Below are 15,291 nucleotides of genomic sequence, written 5' to 3' on the forward strand. Positions count from 1 at the left end.
ACAAACTGAGGATGATCCACAGATTATTTCTTGGCTAAGACAAGAGGAAGTTGTCTTAAATAAACCAGTATGAGAGTTTATTGCATTCCATCTGGGTGCTTGATGATCCCATGTCCCTTTTTCTCTCTGTTGACTTTCTAAGTAAACAATTTGTTAGCTCAGAGATGACTCAAATTCATAGAATCAGTAAATGAGAAAGGACTACAAAGTTCCCCTAGTCTGAACCCCCTACACTCAGCCAGTAACCACCTCTACAACATTTCTAGATTGACACTACCCTCAGCTTGAATGCTGAGAAGGATGAACAACTCTTCCTCCCTCAGTGATAGCCCCTTTTTTGCAGGATAGACCTAAGCAGTAGGCGTCAGCCATTCTGTGATGCCAGTTTTGCCCTTTAGGTCAAAATAAAGCAAGTATTTTCTCTTCTTTGCACCACAACTTGTGTCTTTGCTCATGACTTACAGGACAAGCTAAAACAGACAAAACCATTCTTGACCCTCAAAGGCTGAGTGTCCCACTGGTGGGCTAGACAGGGCTCTTACTCAGTTTTGTGTTACCACATGATTACCATGAGTCTTTACAAAACCCTTGCCCACCTCCCCTAGAGAAATTGAGTAAGGAAGAATGATGAGTGCCAAACCTGTCCATTTGCTTCTTGCCAGCAATTCCGGTGAAAGGTCTGACTGAGGAAGAGGCTGAACCCATCTGAGGTATTCTATAATTAGCGTCTTTCTTCCTCTCCCACTTACCATTAAGGTAGACCAGGATATTCATGAAAAATTCCTCATTTGCCATTTCATTCCTTTTGGAAACCACATGTGAATTTCATTCAGTTAAAAAAAGTCAATTCCTTACCCGACACCAGGTAGCATTCTAAAGGATATAACAGTGAATGAAACAGAGGAAGCCCTACCCTCATGAAGCTTATGTTTTAATAAGGAAGACTACCATCAACTAATAGTTAAACATTATAATATCGAGAACTTATATGTACTATGAAGGAAAACAAAGCAAGGAGAGGGCAAAAGGTGATGGAGCTGCTATTGGCGAAGGCAGGCCTAGGAGGAGACATCGATTGAGCAGAGACTGGAGTGGAGTGAAGGATTCCTCCTTGGAAATGTCTGCAGGAAGTGCTGTAAGAGGAAATAACTGCAAGAAAGCCCTGAATGTTGTGCGAACGGGATCAACTAGAATGAGTTTCAGACGACTTTTCATAGGTAGATATGATTTTCAAGCCAAATTTTTCTGATAGCTGAGAAAATTCAACATGGCATTACCTGCCTTTGAAATTCTTTAGCATTCCAGAAATCAGGTGGGACCATCAGGATATGAACAAAGTGGTCAAACAATCTTACCTTTGTGAAACACTGTCTCACATGTTATCCTTTTTAATGATCACAACAACCTCACAAGGTGGATATCATTATCCATAACAAACTGAGGCTGAAGTAAGTGAAGTGTCTAGAGAGTGGCAGAGCCAAGACTAATAGAATCTGGTGTTGTGACTCTGGTCAGTACATTGGTTTACATAAGTACCCAGTTTCTTCACCAAATCACATAGTGTGGAGAAAAACACAAGGACATATGGGCTTGTAAATTTAACCTCAAATCTGAAACAATATCCAATATTGGAGATCAATATTTCTCTGATGGTGTGGCAGTGCACCATTTAGCTCTCTTCCAAGAGGAAATGCCAAAGGGAGCAGAGTTGACTGCCAGCCCCAGTTAGCATCCTTGGGGCCTGCCTCCCTATTGGTATCAAGGCCACACCTCCCCTGGGCTGCTTGTGGTGGGAACAAGTGCTAGCCCCTTCCTGCTGGACATAGGCTGCCTGCAACAAGCAGCCTTTGCATTCAGGGACTCCTGTGGACCTGGCCAGGATTCTCTGAGGAATGTGCTGCAGTCCGAGGAGCTCTGCCCAGTTCTTCCTTCCCTCTCTCCTTTCACAGGTGGCAGGTCAGCACACATGGTCTGAAGGCTGTCTGCCATCTCCTGTTTCTACCCCCTTATCCTTCACAGTCTTTTCTCCCAACACGTCTCTAGCAAAATCAACCTTGTCTTGGCATCTGCTTCTCAGAGGACCCAAATTGGCATAATTGCTAATCTAAGTGGTTTTGTTTTTATGAAAGGGCTAGATTATTAGTTCATTTTATCTTTGTCTTTCTGTACTTGAAATCCCAAAAGAAAAAGAAAAAAAAAATGCTTATTTTCAGTTATCAGTGTCAGACTTTTGGCTTCATTAATTGTTGATTTTAGCAAAAACATAAAGGGAATTTCTGAGATTTTGCTGGTGTGAACTGGGGTGAGGTCTTGGCCTGGGTTCTGGTTTTTATTTTAGCAGTTGCCAATCTGCTTTCACAGGTCCTTATATAAAGCAAACACCTCAGCTGTTGCGTTACCTGGCTGTGAATTCCAAGCTTAGAGCTAATCCAAGTTGTCAATGCATATTCTAAAGTATCTAAGTAGTCATAGAAGATTGCTGCTAAGAAGTGCTAAAGGCAATTGGAGGGATCTGGACGACCACTACCCAGCAGAAATATAATGTGAGCCACAGAAGTAAATGCAGGCACACCTCACTCTATTGTGCTTTGTGTTATTGTGCTTTGCAGATACTGTTTTTTAACAAAGTAAAGACTTCTGGCAGTCCTGCTCAAGTCTATTGCTGCCATTTTGCCAACACCATGTCCTCATTTTGTGCCTCTATGTCACATTTGGGTAATTCTCACAATATTTCAAACTTTTTTATTATTATTATATCTGTTTTAGTGATCCATGATCAGTGATATTTGATGTTACTATCATAATTGTTTTGGGGTGCTATGAACTGTACCCATAGAATACAGTGAACTTCATCAATAAATGTTGTGTGCGTTTTGACTGCTCCACTGACCAGCCATTCCCTGTCTTTCTCCATCTCCTCAGGCCTTCCTATTTCCTAAGACACAACAATATTGAAATTAAGCCAATTAATAACCCTACAGTAGCATGTAAGTGTTCAAGTGAAAGGAAGAGTCACACATCTCTCACTTTAAGTCAAAAGCTAAAAACAATTAAGCTTAGTGAGAAAGGCATATCGAAAGCAGAGAAAGACTGAAAGCTAGGCCTCTTACACCAGTCAATTATGAATACAAACGAAAAGTTATTGAAAGAAATTTAAAGTCCCACTCCAATAAACACACGAATGATAAAAAAAAAAAAGCAAAATTTAAAGTCCTACTCCAGTAAACACATGAATGATTTTTAAAAAAAGCCTTACTGCTGAGGTAGAGAAAGTTTCAGTGATCTGGACAGAAGATCAAACCAGCCACAACATTCCTGTAAGTCAAAGCCTAATCCAGAGCAAGGCCCTCAACATCAAGACAAGACCATCCAGCAGCAAAAAGATCACAACTCGCTGAAGGTGCAGATGATCATTAGCATTTTTTAGCAATAAAGTATTTTTAAGTTAAAATATACATATTGTTGTTATTTTAGACATAATGCTATTGGATGCTTAACACACTATAGTATAGTGTAAACATAACTTTCATGTGCACTGGGAAACGAAAAATCCACGTCACTCACTTTATTGCAATATTTGCTTGATCGCGATGGTCTGGAACTGAACTCACAATATCTCTGAGATATGCCTGAATAGCCACATGTGAAAAAAGAAGAAGGCCAGGCATGGTGGTTCATTCCTGTAATCCCAGCACTTTGGGAGGCTGAGGAAGGAAGACTGCTTGAGCCCAGGAGTTTGAGACCAGCCTAGACAACATAGCGAGACCTCGTCTCTAATAAAAAAAAAAAAAAATTAAATTAAAAATTAAAAAATGGAAAACAAAACAGATAAACTTCATTTTAATCTAATTATTACAACTGTAATAATTAATTTTAATAATGGTACATTTAACCCAATACATCAAAAATATTATCATTTCAACATGTAACCATATTTAAGTGTTATTGGTGAAATAGCTTACTTTTTTTTTTTTTTTTTACACTAAGTCTATAGACAAGCTACGTTTCTTTCAATGCTCAATAGCCACATGTGGCTAGTGGCTACCATGTTCAGCAGTGCATATCTAGGTACTCCCAGGTTTGAGAAATAATATTTGGATATGGAGCAGCTGACAAGCTATTTCCTGGTGTTCCCATAAACTGGTTATAGCGCTACACCTACCCCCAATGGAGAATTTGTCAAATCATTACCCGAGGGGATTTTTATTCAGGACTTTTCTCCCATTTGCTAGGAAATCTAAAATATTCATTTTGAAATAAAATATTCCTTGGATGGAGTTTTAGGCACATTTCAGATATTAGCTCCCATAATTATTTTAAATAAGTCTTTATAGCTAATCAAGTGTACAAAACCATGAGGCTATTTTCTTTTTGCAAACATGTCTAATCCTAGAGCTCTGGCAGTTCCTCATTAAGTGAGTCTGATTTCTTCTGTCCCCTTCTGCAAAGTGGCAACTGCCCACCCTCTCCTGGCCATGTATGCCCTCAGCAGAAACCACCACTCTTGACCTTGACTACTGTAAGAAAGTACTATGAAATTAAGATTCTTTTAACTGGAATCATCCATTTAAAACCTACTTCACACGAGGCAAGTATTGGGTAAGTATTTGCCTATGCATTTTCTCACTTAATTTTCAGCCTTACGTTATTATTTCCATTTTATAGTTTAAAGAAATTGAGTTTCTAAAAGCTAAGTAACTTGGCCAGTGTCACATTGCTAATCACTCTACATTCCTTTAAAAGTTGGCATTGGGAGACTGATAGTCTGAACCAATTTACAATGTTGATGGCACTGTAAATTGATTCAATCTTTTCTGAGATTAACTTGGCAATGTTTAACAGCAATAAAATGGTCCATGCCCTTTTATACAATTATTTTGGCATTTATTCTGAGAGTAATACATGCACATCCTCCTGTATACTTTAAGCCATTTCTAGATTACTTTTAATACACTCACATATCAACTTGTGCAAAGATGTTTCTGACAGAGAATTAAACACCCCAAACTTTTTCACTTATTTAACAAATATTTATTGAATACCTGCTATGTGCTAAGCAAGGATTCAGCAGGAGAAAAAAAAATTAAAGAACAAAGATGATCTCTGCTTTCATGAAGAAGTTTCATGCACAATTATCTTGAGTGCAACAGAAGAATGAATAATGAAAGCCAAGTACATAATGTTGAATTGTCTAGTAGTCTAATAGCTACATTAAAAAGGTAAGAAGAAACAAGAAAAATTACTTTAAATAATATATTTTATTTAACCCAATATATTCAAAATATTATTTCAACATACAATCAAACATAATAAATCAATTAATAATATAGTTTACATTCTTTCTTTCATATTAAGCCTTCAAAATCTGGTGGCTATTTTATACTTAAAGGACATCTCGATTTGAACACCAAATTTTCATCAGAAATACTAAATTTGTATTTAGATTTTAAAAAATATACCATTAAAAAATAGATTCATATAACCAAAGTGTTCTAAACACATTTAAAAGTTTCGAAATAAGTCAATCAAACATCAAAAATAATTTTTTTCTTTTTATTTTTTTGAGACAGAGTCTTGCTGTCTTGACCAGGCTGCAGTGCAGTGGCATGAAGTCTGCCGGCTGCAACCTCCACCTTGCTGGTTCAAGCGATTCTCCAGCCTCCTGAGTAGCTGAAACTACAGGCATGCACTACTACGCCCTGCTAAATTTTTTTGTATTTTTAGTAAAGAAGGGGTTTCATCATGTTGGCCAAACTGATCTCGAACTCCTGAACTCAGATGATCCGTCTGCCTCAACCCCCCAAAGTGCTGGGATTACAGGTGTGAGCCACCATGCCTGGACCCAATTTTATTTTAATATTTGCATCTACATTGGCCAAAATAGCTCACCTTTTTTTAGAAGAAAAAGTGTACCCATTTTAAATAAACTTTTGTCCAAGTTAGGTAAATTCACCAACTCTTGGGTCAGCTCAGTCTCACTGGCATGAACTCAAAAGAATAATATATAAATAAATAGGAAAAGAATTCTAAATGTATCAATATGAACAAAATGTCTTCCCAGTTTTTCTAGAAAAGAGACTTTTTGCAACCAATTTACATAGTACTCCAGGACCCTCCAGAGGATATGAATATCTATGGCTGCCCAAGTCCCTGATATAAAATGAAGTAGTATTTGCATACAACCTATACACATCCTCCTGTATAATTTCAGTCACTGATACATTACTTATAATACCTAATACAATGAAAATGCTTGCAGATAATTATTTTACAGTGTATTGTTTTTAAATTTGTATTACTTTTTATTGTTGTATTGTGATTTTTATTCTTTCCCAAATATTTTCTATGTACTGTCCATTGAATCTGCAGATGACATTGTAAGCTGGTTCAACCTGAGAATATAGGCCAACTGTACTTTCTTTTTTGGTTTTAAAATTTTGTTTTATTGTGGCAAGAACATTTACCATGAGATCTACCCTCTTAATAGGTTTTTGTTTGTATTTTGTAGAGAGAGACAGAGTCTGGCTTTGTCACCCAGGCTGGACTGTGGTGGTATAATCATAGCTCACTGCAGCCTTGAACTCTTGGAATTAAGGGATCTTCCTGCCTCAGCCTCCTGAGTAGCTAGAGCTATGGATATGTACCACTACACCACTACGCCTGGCTAGTTTGTTGTGTGGTTTTGGTATTTTGGTAGGGTTTCTTGTTGTTGTTGTTGTTTGTTTTTTCTTTTTGTTTTTTCTTTTTTTGGTTTTGGTTTCTGTTTTTTTGTAGAGACAAAGTCTTGCTCCGTTGTCCAGGTTGGTCTTGAACTCCTGGTCTCAAGCAGTCTTCCCACTTCAGCCTCCCGAAGTTCGGGATTATAAGCATAAGGCACGCGCCTAGCCCCTGTACTTACAGTTACAATTTAAATCTTCTGCACTTGATTTATGTTAGAAAAAAGATGTAAAATTGTTATCATTGGTTTGAATTATGAAAGTCTTCAATTTCAACATAAATTTTTGTGCCTGTCTAATTAGGTCACAAATAAGCTGTTCCTTTACTTGAAACTTCAAATTTAGCTTGTTCATATGCAGTGTAACATTGAAGAGAAAACACAAATCACATTACCATTTTGTGTCTTTGACTATTTGGCAAGTATTCCTTTGGTTTCAAGAAAATCTTGAATTGGATCTAACAGTACAGCAAATCTTTGTAAAACTCTTCCACGACTCAATCAACCAGTATTGGCAAAGAACACAGGATCGTTAAATTCATCATCTTCTATTTCTTTCAGTGGTTCCACAGACTGGTGATGATTCATAGCTTTTGCACATATACTGAACAATCTTAACAACTGCATCCATACAGCTTTCATAGTCTCCTTCAGAAAACTGAGCACATGTAGTTTCAGTAATACGTATTACATCATGGAATTAAGAATTAAGGGAAACATCAATCTCTTATTCCAAGATTCTAATAAATCTACATTTTTAAACTGATGTAACTAGATCACAATTACAACAGAAGCTAATTTTTTCATATCTAAATGAATTTCTTTGATAGCTATAAGAGATTCACGCAAGGACAGAAAACCAAACACCACATGTTCTCACTCATAGGTGGAAATTGAACAATGAGAACACTTGGACACAGGGCAGGGAACGTCACACACCGTGGCCTGTCAGGGGATTGGGGGCTGGAGGAGGGATAGCATTAGGAGAAATACCTAATGTAAATGACGAATTAATGGGTGCAGCAAACCAACGTGGCATAAGTATACATATGTAACAAACCTGCACATTGTGCACATGTACCCTAGAACTTAAAGTGTAATAATAAAAAAAAAAGAAGAAGAAAGTAAAGATTAGAAAGGTGAAGCAAAAAAAATAGAGAGATTCAAAGATATTCATGCCTTGAGTTCAACTTTTTAGGGCACAAATTCACATTTCTTTGTAAATTTGGAAGTCGTTTGAGAAGAAAGTTGTCTAAGTGCTAACTGAACAGTGTCTTTTACATCACTGAGCTCATCGAAACCTGGAGAAAAGTACTTGCAGTTTTTCAAATTTGAATCAATTTATCTTTGATATTATTAAATGGTCTTATATTCTACTAACAACTGTTTGGTGGCTTAATTGAAGATCTTTCACTTTTTATAAAATGGTATTTTTAGTCTTTTCCATTATCATTTCCAACAAATTTTCATAACTGAGATAATTTATTTTACTCTTTGTCCACCTAAAAGTGATTTCCATTTTCGTTCAAGAATCCAAGCCATTTTAAAGATAACCAAAGGCACACACTCAGATAATGCTGAAAAATTTTTAAAAATTTTATTGGACATTTACTTCTTATTTCAGGTGTCTGAGTTCATTGATTCTTTTTTGGCTATTCAAAGGAAAGTTCTTATCAAATTCACTGTGCATTTCCTGCAAATTTCTCTTAATATTACTCACTTTATTATTTTTAAATGTTTTATACAATAATAGCTTTTGCATTTTGCTCTGCCATAGCAAACTGAGACTGCCCTGAAATCTAAAATTTGCTCCAATCTTTTTTTTACTGTTCCAGTCACAATATTAGCTTCTGCATCTCCACTAGATTCCATGACAGTAGTATGTCTTCATTTTTAATTTAAATTTTTATCTATACTTAACTAGAAAACCAACTTAATGATATTACAATTAAATGCAATAATGTTAAAAAGTTTAACAAAACTTATTACTAATTACAGTTTACACTGTAACTCATGTTGCCTGCATGAAATATTCAAATAAACACAAGTTAAATCAGATACAAAGAAAGAAATCATTCAAACTGAATTACCTGCCTGACACCCACTAGATCAGTGAGGTATTTGTGTTGACTACAAGATCTTAGGCGATGTAATGAACTGTCCTACCAAAATAATAAAGTTGTGTTTAACAGAAAAGTATTTGATACTGCTTCAGCTTTTAACTTAGATTAATTTAAATAAAATGAATAATTCTGTTCCTCAGTCACCCCAGCCACATATCAAATGCTCAGTAACTACTGTGACTGGTATTAGGTGGCGCAGCTCTGGTGGGAGGCAGGGAGAAGGTCCGAGCCAGTGGGCGAGGGCTTGCGTTTCCTTGAGGTTCCGGGAGTTGGGAGGGGAGAAAAAGCATTTTGAATGAGGCTTCTGGCAGCCCCCTTCACTTCAATCACGGTTGGCTCCACTTTTATGTTTTACTCGTTGGATGCCCATATAAGATTTAGTTGGAAGAAAGCATTTCACTGTTTTTCTTTAAGAGTTTGAAACCAAACTTGGGTTCTCTATTTCCTTGCTTCTCTGACAGGGAGAACCTCAGCATGGTTCGGAAAGGCAGGTCTCAGGCTCCACTCTAGGTGATTCACGTGCGCATTAAAGTTTAGGAAATATTGGACTACATGTTTTTTTTCAGCCCAATGATCTCCTTTCCCTATGCTTCTTACACACACACACACACACACACACACAGAGAGACAGTGTGTTTTACCGAGGAATTAGCCCATGATGATACCATAGTCAAACTCTGGCATTTTAGAAGCAATCACAAATCAGGGACGACAGCCCTTAGAACTTCCTTCGGCGCTGTGACCCATGCAGAGCTCCCCAGGATCCTGAATCATAGCCCCAGCACTTCCCTCAGACTCCTGAAGCTGCTGTGCCTGATGGAGCCCCCAGAAGCACTGTTCTTAAGGCAGACTCTTCAGCGACTTTACAGAGGGAGTGTGCTGAATGTTTAAAAGAATGAACCCTGGAGCCAAATTGAGCACCTTCAAATCCCAGCTCTACCATTCTAGCTCTGTGGCCTTGTTAATGCTTCGTTTGTCTCATCTGTAAAATGGGAATAAGAATAGAATGTGCATAAAGGGCTGATAAAATAATATGGGTAAAGCATTTAGAACAGCGCTTGGCACACAGTAAACACTATGTACACCATATAAACATCAATCAGCCTCTGCATATTTTTCACAATTTTTAATATAAGGAAAATTAAATTTGCAGGATTTTCCTTAAATAATTTCCTATCTCTGGGCAAAGGAGAGATTTACCTGCTATAAATGGCCCATCAGAGGTGTTTTAAATGCTTGTTGAATAAATGAGTGCATGAATAAACAAATAATGGATTGGAATGGGATGATGATTTGATGTCCACACAAGCTCAGAATTCCAGCACTGTCTTCCAATCTTGAGTCCTTCCTGTGAACCTAACTTTGTTTTATCTGGTTTTTTTCCTCCTGGCTGTTAACCCCTGAGCTTTCCAAGAATCATTAGAGTGGAACTTCAATGAATGCTTTTCATAAATGAAAAGATTCCAAGCCTACAGTCAGCAAAGCTCCCAGCACATGCAAAAGCAAAGCTAGGGGTTTTTTATTTATGTAAATTCAGAATATTGAAATGCAAAGTGAGGCAAAAGTAAAACATAAAAAATGTTAAGAAAAAAAAGGCTGGAGACACTTTGCTGTCACCTTATTAAAAGAACTTTCATTATTCCTTCTCATTATTCTTTCCTAAGTGGCTGTAGTGTAATTCAGCTTTCAATTTCCTCTAATGGGTTCATGATGGCCAAAATGAGGGGAATCCCTCTTCCGTGTAATGTGTCCAGGTCTCTGAAAGCATGTAGCTTGCCCAGTTTGAGGAATCCAATGTCGGTTGTGATATGGGGTAGGTGGAAGGGAAGATTAGGGAGGATTCTCTTTCATGTACACACCTATTCTGAACCATCTCCTGGGGAAGATTCTTCAAAGAAAGAAATTGGAGGTCCCTGGCTCCTCTCTCCAAATTTCCTGAGAAAATTGCAAAGTAGATTGTCTCTGGAAAAGAAGGGAAGAACATGAGAAAGAAGGCTTGTTGCTGAGAACAAAAAAACTGAACAGGAGAATGGGGTTAGGCTGGAATGTTTTAATTCTATTTGCTGGAAGCATGAAGGCTTCCTGGAGCTAGAACTGAAAATAAGCACCAGGTAATCTGGAATGGCCACGGTCAAAGAGCTTGGCTTACCAAAAGTCTCGAAGCTCCCACAAGGATGAAGTAGGGGACATGCTAGCCCTGAAGTTAGGAAGATATCCTAATCACTCTTTTTTTATTGTTTCCTACTAGGCTGTAAGCAATTCAAGGGCAGGGATACATGTCTTTGTCATTTGTATATCCTTTGTCATCTGTATATCCTTTGGTACCAAACACATAGGACATATTCTGAATGCTTTTGAGTAAATGTAAGAAACAAACACACCCATCCAAACCCAAAGAATAGACTCAGAGACCTGGAGAACAGCAGAAGCAAGACTTTTTAATGATGATCTTGCAAGATCGAGTGTCTGGTGGGCAGACATACCCAGCACAGTTACAACAAGCAATTTATGCCCTAGTATGCAGGTCCCTCCCGCAGTTCCTCATAGGCTGAGTACTATGTGGGTCACAATCTTCCCAGATGTTGCCTATTGATTGTTGAGTAAGTGGCTTTAGGTGTTTTCTTTAGGGTTTTCTTGCTGCATTTTGTTGCAGCCCACAATGCATTGCAATCTTAGTTAGCTCAGGGGCTTTTCAAGTATTTGAATTATGACCTAGTTAGCTGGGCAGGCTGATAAGAACAGGCAAAGCGAGCTACTTTGCAAGTTAGTAAACTTCATTTTAGACTAAACTTCTTTGGTCTGGGTGAGGGCACCTAAGGGAGTGGGGCCCGACAAGCAGGCATTGGCTATCCAAGCAGGGCCTAGTATATCCTGTTTCTTCTGTAGTTTGCTGACCTAAGCTGACTCAGGGCACTTTATCTTGGAAATGGACCACTGTATACATTATTTCCTTCCATAAATAAATGACTTAATGTAGACAAATACTCAAGTAGTGTTATAGGTAGTTAGGCATGAGTGGGGCAGGAGCAGGCTCTACCCCCGTGCACTAGAAATGTCAGGTGATGGTTTGGCAATGATCACATGACCTCTCTAAAAGTGACAAATTGGCAGCCAGCTGGGGAGAGGACATTTTCTGATGGTCCATACCTTTTAACATTGAAGTTTTAATTAAAGACAGACCCCAGGGAGAAGAAACTTCCTGGACATGCACATTAGAGACAAAAATGGCAAAGTATAATATTCCGGCTACACTCCACCAGAAAAAGGAAGAAAGCCTCAGATGAGCATGCATAAAACTTCCTAAACACATTGGGTGTGCTCACTTCCCAAGGGTAAGGAGGGCTCTGCGCATGCAGAAAGCCACCCTAGGGGAAGAATCATGGGAAAGAGGCGAGCCTATAAAAGTCCTAGGATCACAGCTAAAAGGGGCATTTAAGCTTCTTTTTTTCTCTTTGACCTTCAAGTGCCCACCTGGATCTCTTCCAAGGGTTCTTTCTTTTCTTTCCTGTACTAAAGCCTTTTTAATAAACTTCCACTCCTGCCCTGGAACTCATCTTGGTCTCTTTTTCTGCTTTCGGCCCCTCAGTTGAATTCTTTCTTTTGAGGAGGAAGAATTGAAGTTGCTGCAGGTGTGTACGGATTCCCCGCTGGTAACTCAGGGTAACTCAGACCTCTTCCACCATTAACAATAGGGCATCAAGCACTGTGAAGGACTGGAACCCTCGGATTAAGTCCTGGGTCTCAAGAGCCAAAGCTGAGCATTGGAGAGGATGCGCTGGCCCTTGGCAGTGGGATTTATGGGAGGAAAACCTGGAAGCTGTGCCCTCTGCAAAGAGTTAGTGACTTGAACAACGTAGAGGAGAGTAGGGAGAGTTAGCGGTCTGTATCAGTCAGGATTCTCCAGAGAAACACAACCAACTATATATATATATGTGTGTGTGTATATATATATATATGTGTGTGTGTGTGTGTGTGTGTGTGTGTGTATAGATAGAGAGAGAGAGAGATGAGAGGGAATGTATTGGGGAATTAGCTCATGCAATTATGGAGGCTGACTATAATATGGAGGACTGAGACAGTGTAACCCTCAATCCGAGGTTGAAGGCCTACGAACCCAGGGAACGCTGGTGCAAGTCCCAGAATCCAAAGGCCAGAGAACCTGGAGCTCTGATGTCCAAGGGCAGGAGAGCTGAAAGATTTCCTACCCCAGCTCCAAGAAAAAGTGAGAGAGAGAATTTGCCTTTCCTCTGGCTTTTTGTTCTATCCAGACCCTCAGCCAATTGGATGGTGCCCACCCACATTGGGTGGGGCTGAATCTCCCTTACTCAGTGCACTGACACAAATGCCAGTCTCTTCGGGAAACACCCTCACAGGCTTACCTCAAAATAATGCTTTACCAGCTATCTGGGTATCACTTAACCCAGTCAAGTTGATGCCTTAAATTAGCCATCACAGAGGTCCCAAACCGCAGATACCCACAGGCCATTGTGTGAGGAGGGAGCCTTTACTGCAGTGTGTGCAGGCAAATAAAGGGCAGCGAGGAGCTGCAAATGGTGTGGGCTGGACCCCAAGGGCCTGCAGAGTGGCTGGGGCTGCCTGTGCTTCCTAGGAATTCAACGCTGAGGCAGAGGAGGGCTGGGCTCCTTGTGGGTATCATGTTGAGATGGCACCCAAAGCAATTGAGTAATCAGGATTCTTCATGCCCATGGGGAACCTTTCCAGGGTTGCATTCTTAAGATTCCTACATCTGTTTGTTTCTTGTAAATTTGTTTGAGCTCTTTGTAGATTCTGGATATTAGCCCTTTGTCAGATGAGTAGATTGCAAAAATTTTCTCCCATTCTGTAGGTTGCCTGTTCACTCTGATGGTAGTTTCTTTTGCTGTGCAGAAGCTCTTTAATTTAATTAGATCCCATTTGTCCATTTTGGCTTTTGTTGCCATTGCTTTTGGTGTTTTAGACATGAAGTCCTTGCCCATGCCTATGTCCTGAATGGTATTGCCTAGGTTTTCTTCTAGGGTTTTTATGGTTTTAGGTCTAACATTTAAGTCTTCAATCCACCTTGAATTAATTTTTGTATAAGGTATAAGGAAGGGATCCAGTTTCAGCTTTCTACATATAGCTAGCCAGTTTTCCCAGCACCATTTATTAAATAGGGAATCCTTTCCCCATTTCTTGTATTTGTCAGGTTTGTCAAAGATCAGATAGTTGTAGATGTGTGGCATTATTTCTGAGGGCTCTGTTCTGTTCCATTGGTCTATATCTCTGTTTTGGTACCAGTACTATGCTGTTTTGGTTACTGTAGCCTTGTAGTATAGTTTAAAGTCAGGTAGAAACAACAAACAACCCCATCAACAAGTGGGCGAAGGATATGAACAGACACTTCTCAAAAGAAGACATTTATGCAGCCAACAGACACATTAAAAAATGCTCATCATCACTGGCCATCAGAGAAATGCAAATCAAAACCACAATGAGATACCATCTCACACCAGTTAGAATGGCAATCATTAAAAAGTCAGGAAACAACAGGTGCTGGAGAGGATGTGGAGAAATAGGAACACTTTTACACTGTTGGTGGGACTGTAAACTAGTTCAACCATTGTGGAAGTCAGTGTGGTGATTCCTCAGGGATCTAGAACTAGAAATACCATTTGACCCAGCCATCCCATTACTGGGTATATACCCAAAGGATTATAAATCATGCTGCTATAAAGACACATGCACATGTATGTTTATTGTGGCACTATTCACAATAGGAAAGACTTGGAACCAACCCAAATGTCCAACAATGATAGACTGGATTAAAAAAATGTGACACATATACACCATGGAATACTATGCAGCCATAAAAAATGATGAGTTTATGTCCTTTGTAGGGACATGGATGAAGCTGGAAACCATCATTCTCAGCAAACTATCTCAAGGACAAAAAACCAAACACCACATGTTCTCACTCACAGGTGGGAAATGAACAATGAGAACACTTGGACACAGGAAGAGGAACATCACACACTGGGGCCTGTTGTGGGGTGGGGTGGGGGGAGGGATAGCATTAGGAGATATACCTAATGTAAATGACAAGTTAATGGGTGCAGCATACCAACATGGCACATGTATGCATATGTAACAAACCTGCACGTTATGCACATGTACCCTAAAACTTAAAGTATTAAAAAAAAAAAAAAAAAGATTCCTACATCTGCATTGCAAGGTTCAATCCAGGCCTTCCACACTCTCCAGATTCAGTTTTGTGCCTCAAGTTCTCACTGTTTGGTATTTCACATTGTCTGCTGCTACCTACTCAATACCTACTGTGTTGCCACCTTCCCCCACTCCCTAAGCTATTTCTACAGTGGAAAGATGAAACCAGAGAAGAGTCAGTAAACACTTTGCACCTGACCCTCCCTCCCTGCCACAACCACTGCTTTGTGCTACGCTGAGAAGCTCCCTGTC

General features: G+C 39.2%; 2 annotated features.

Annotated features, from left to right (window-relative positions):
• Nucleotides 12,891-13,392: an enhancer, noted in NCBI's record as "H3K4me1 hESC enhancer chr15:58638163-58638664 (GRCh37/hg19 assembly coordinates)". NCBI's record gives its function as "activates a minimal SCP1, AML or CMV promoter by ChIP-STARR-seq in naive H9 embryonic stem cells {active_cell/tissue: H9 hESC(naive)}" and the evidence as "EXISTENCE:reporter gene assay evidence [ECO:0000049][PMID:30033119]".
• Nucleotides 13,393-13,892: an enhancer, noted in NCBI's record as "H3K4me1 hESC enhancer chr15:58638665-58639164 (GRCh37/hg19 assembly coordinates)". NCBI's record gives its function as "activates a minimal SCP1, AML or CMV promoter by ChIP-STARR-seq in naive H9 embryonic stem cells {active_cell/tissue: H9 hESC(naive)}" and the evidence as "EXISTENCE:reporter gene assay evidence [ECO:0000049][PMID:30033119]".

Source organism: Homo sapiens, chromosome 15 (genome assembly GCF_000001405.40).
Source record: "Homo sapiens chromosome 15, GRCh38.p14 Primary Assembly".
In the NCBI taxonomy this organism is placed as follows: Eukaryota; Metazoa; Chordata; class Mammalia; order Primates; family Hominidae; genus Homo; species Homo sapiens.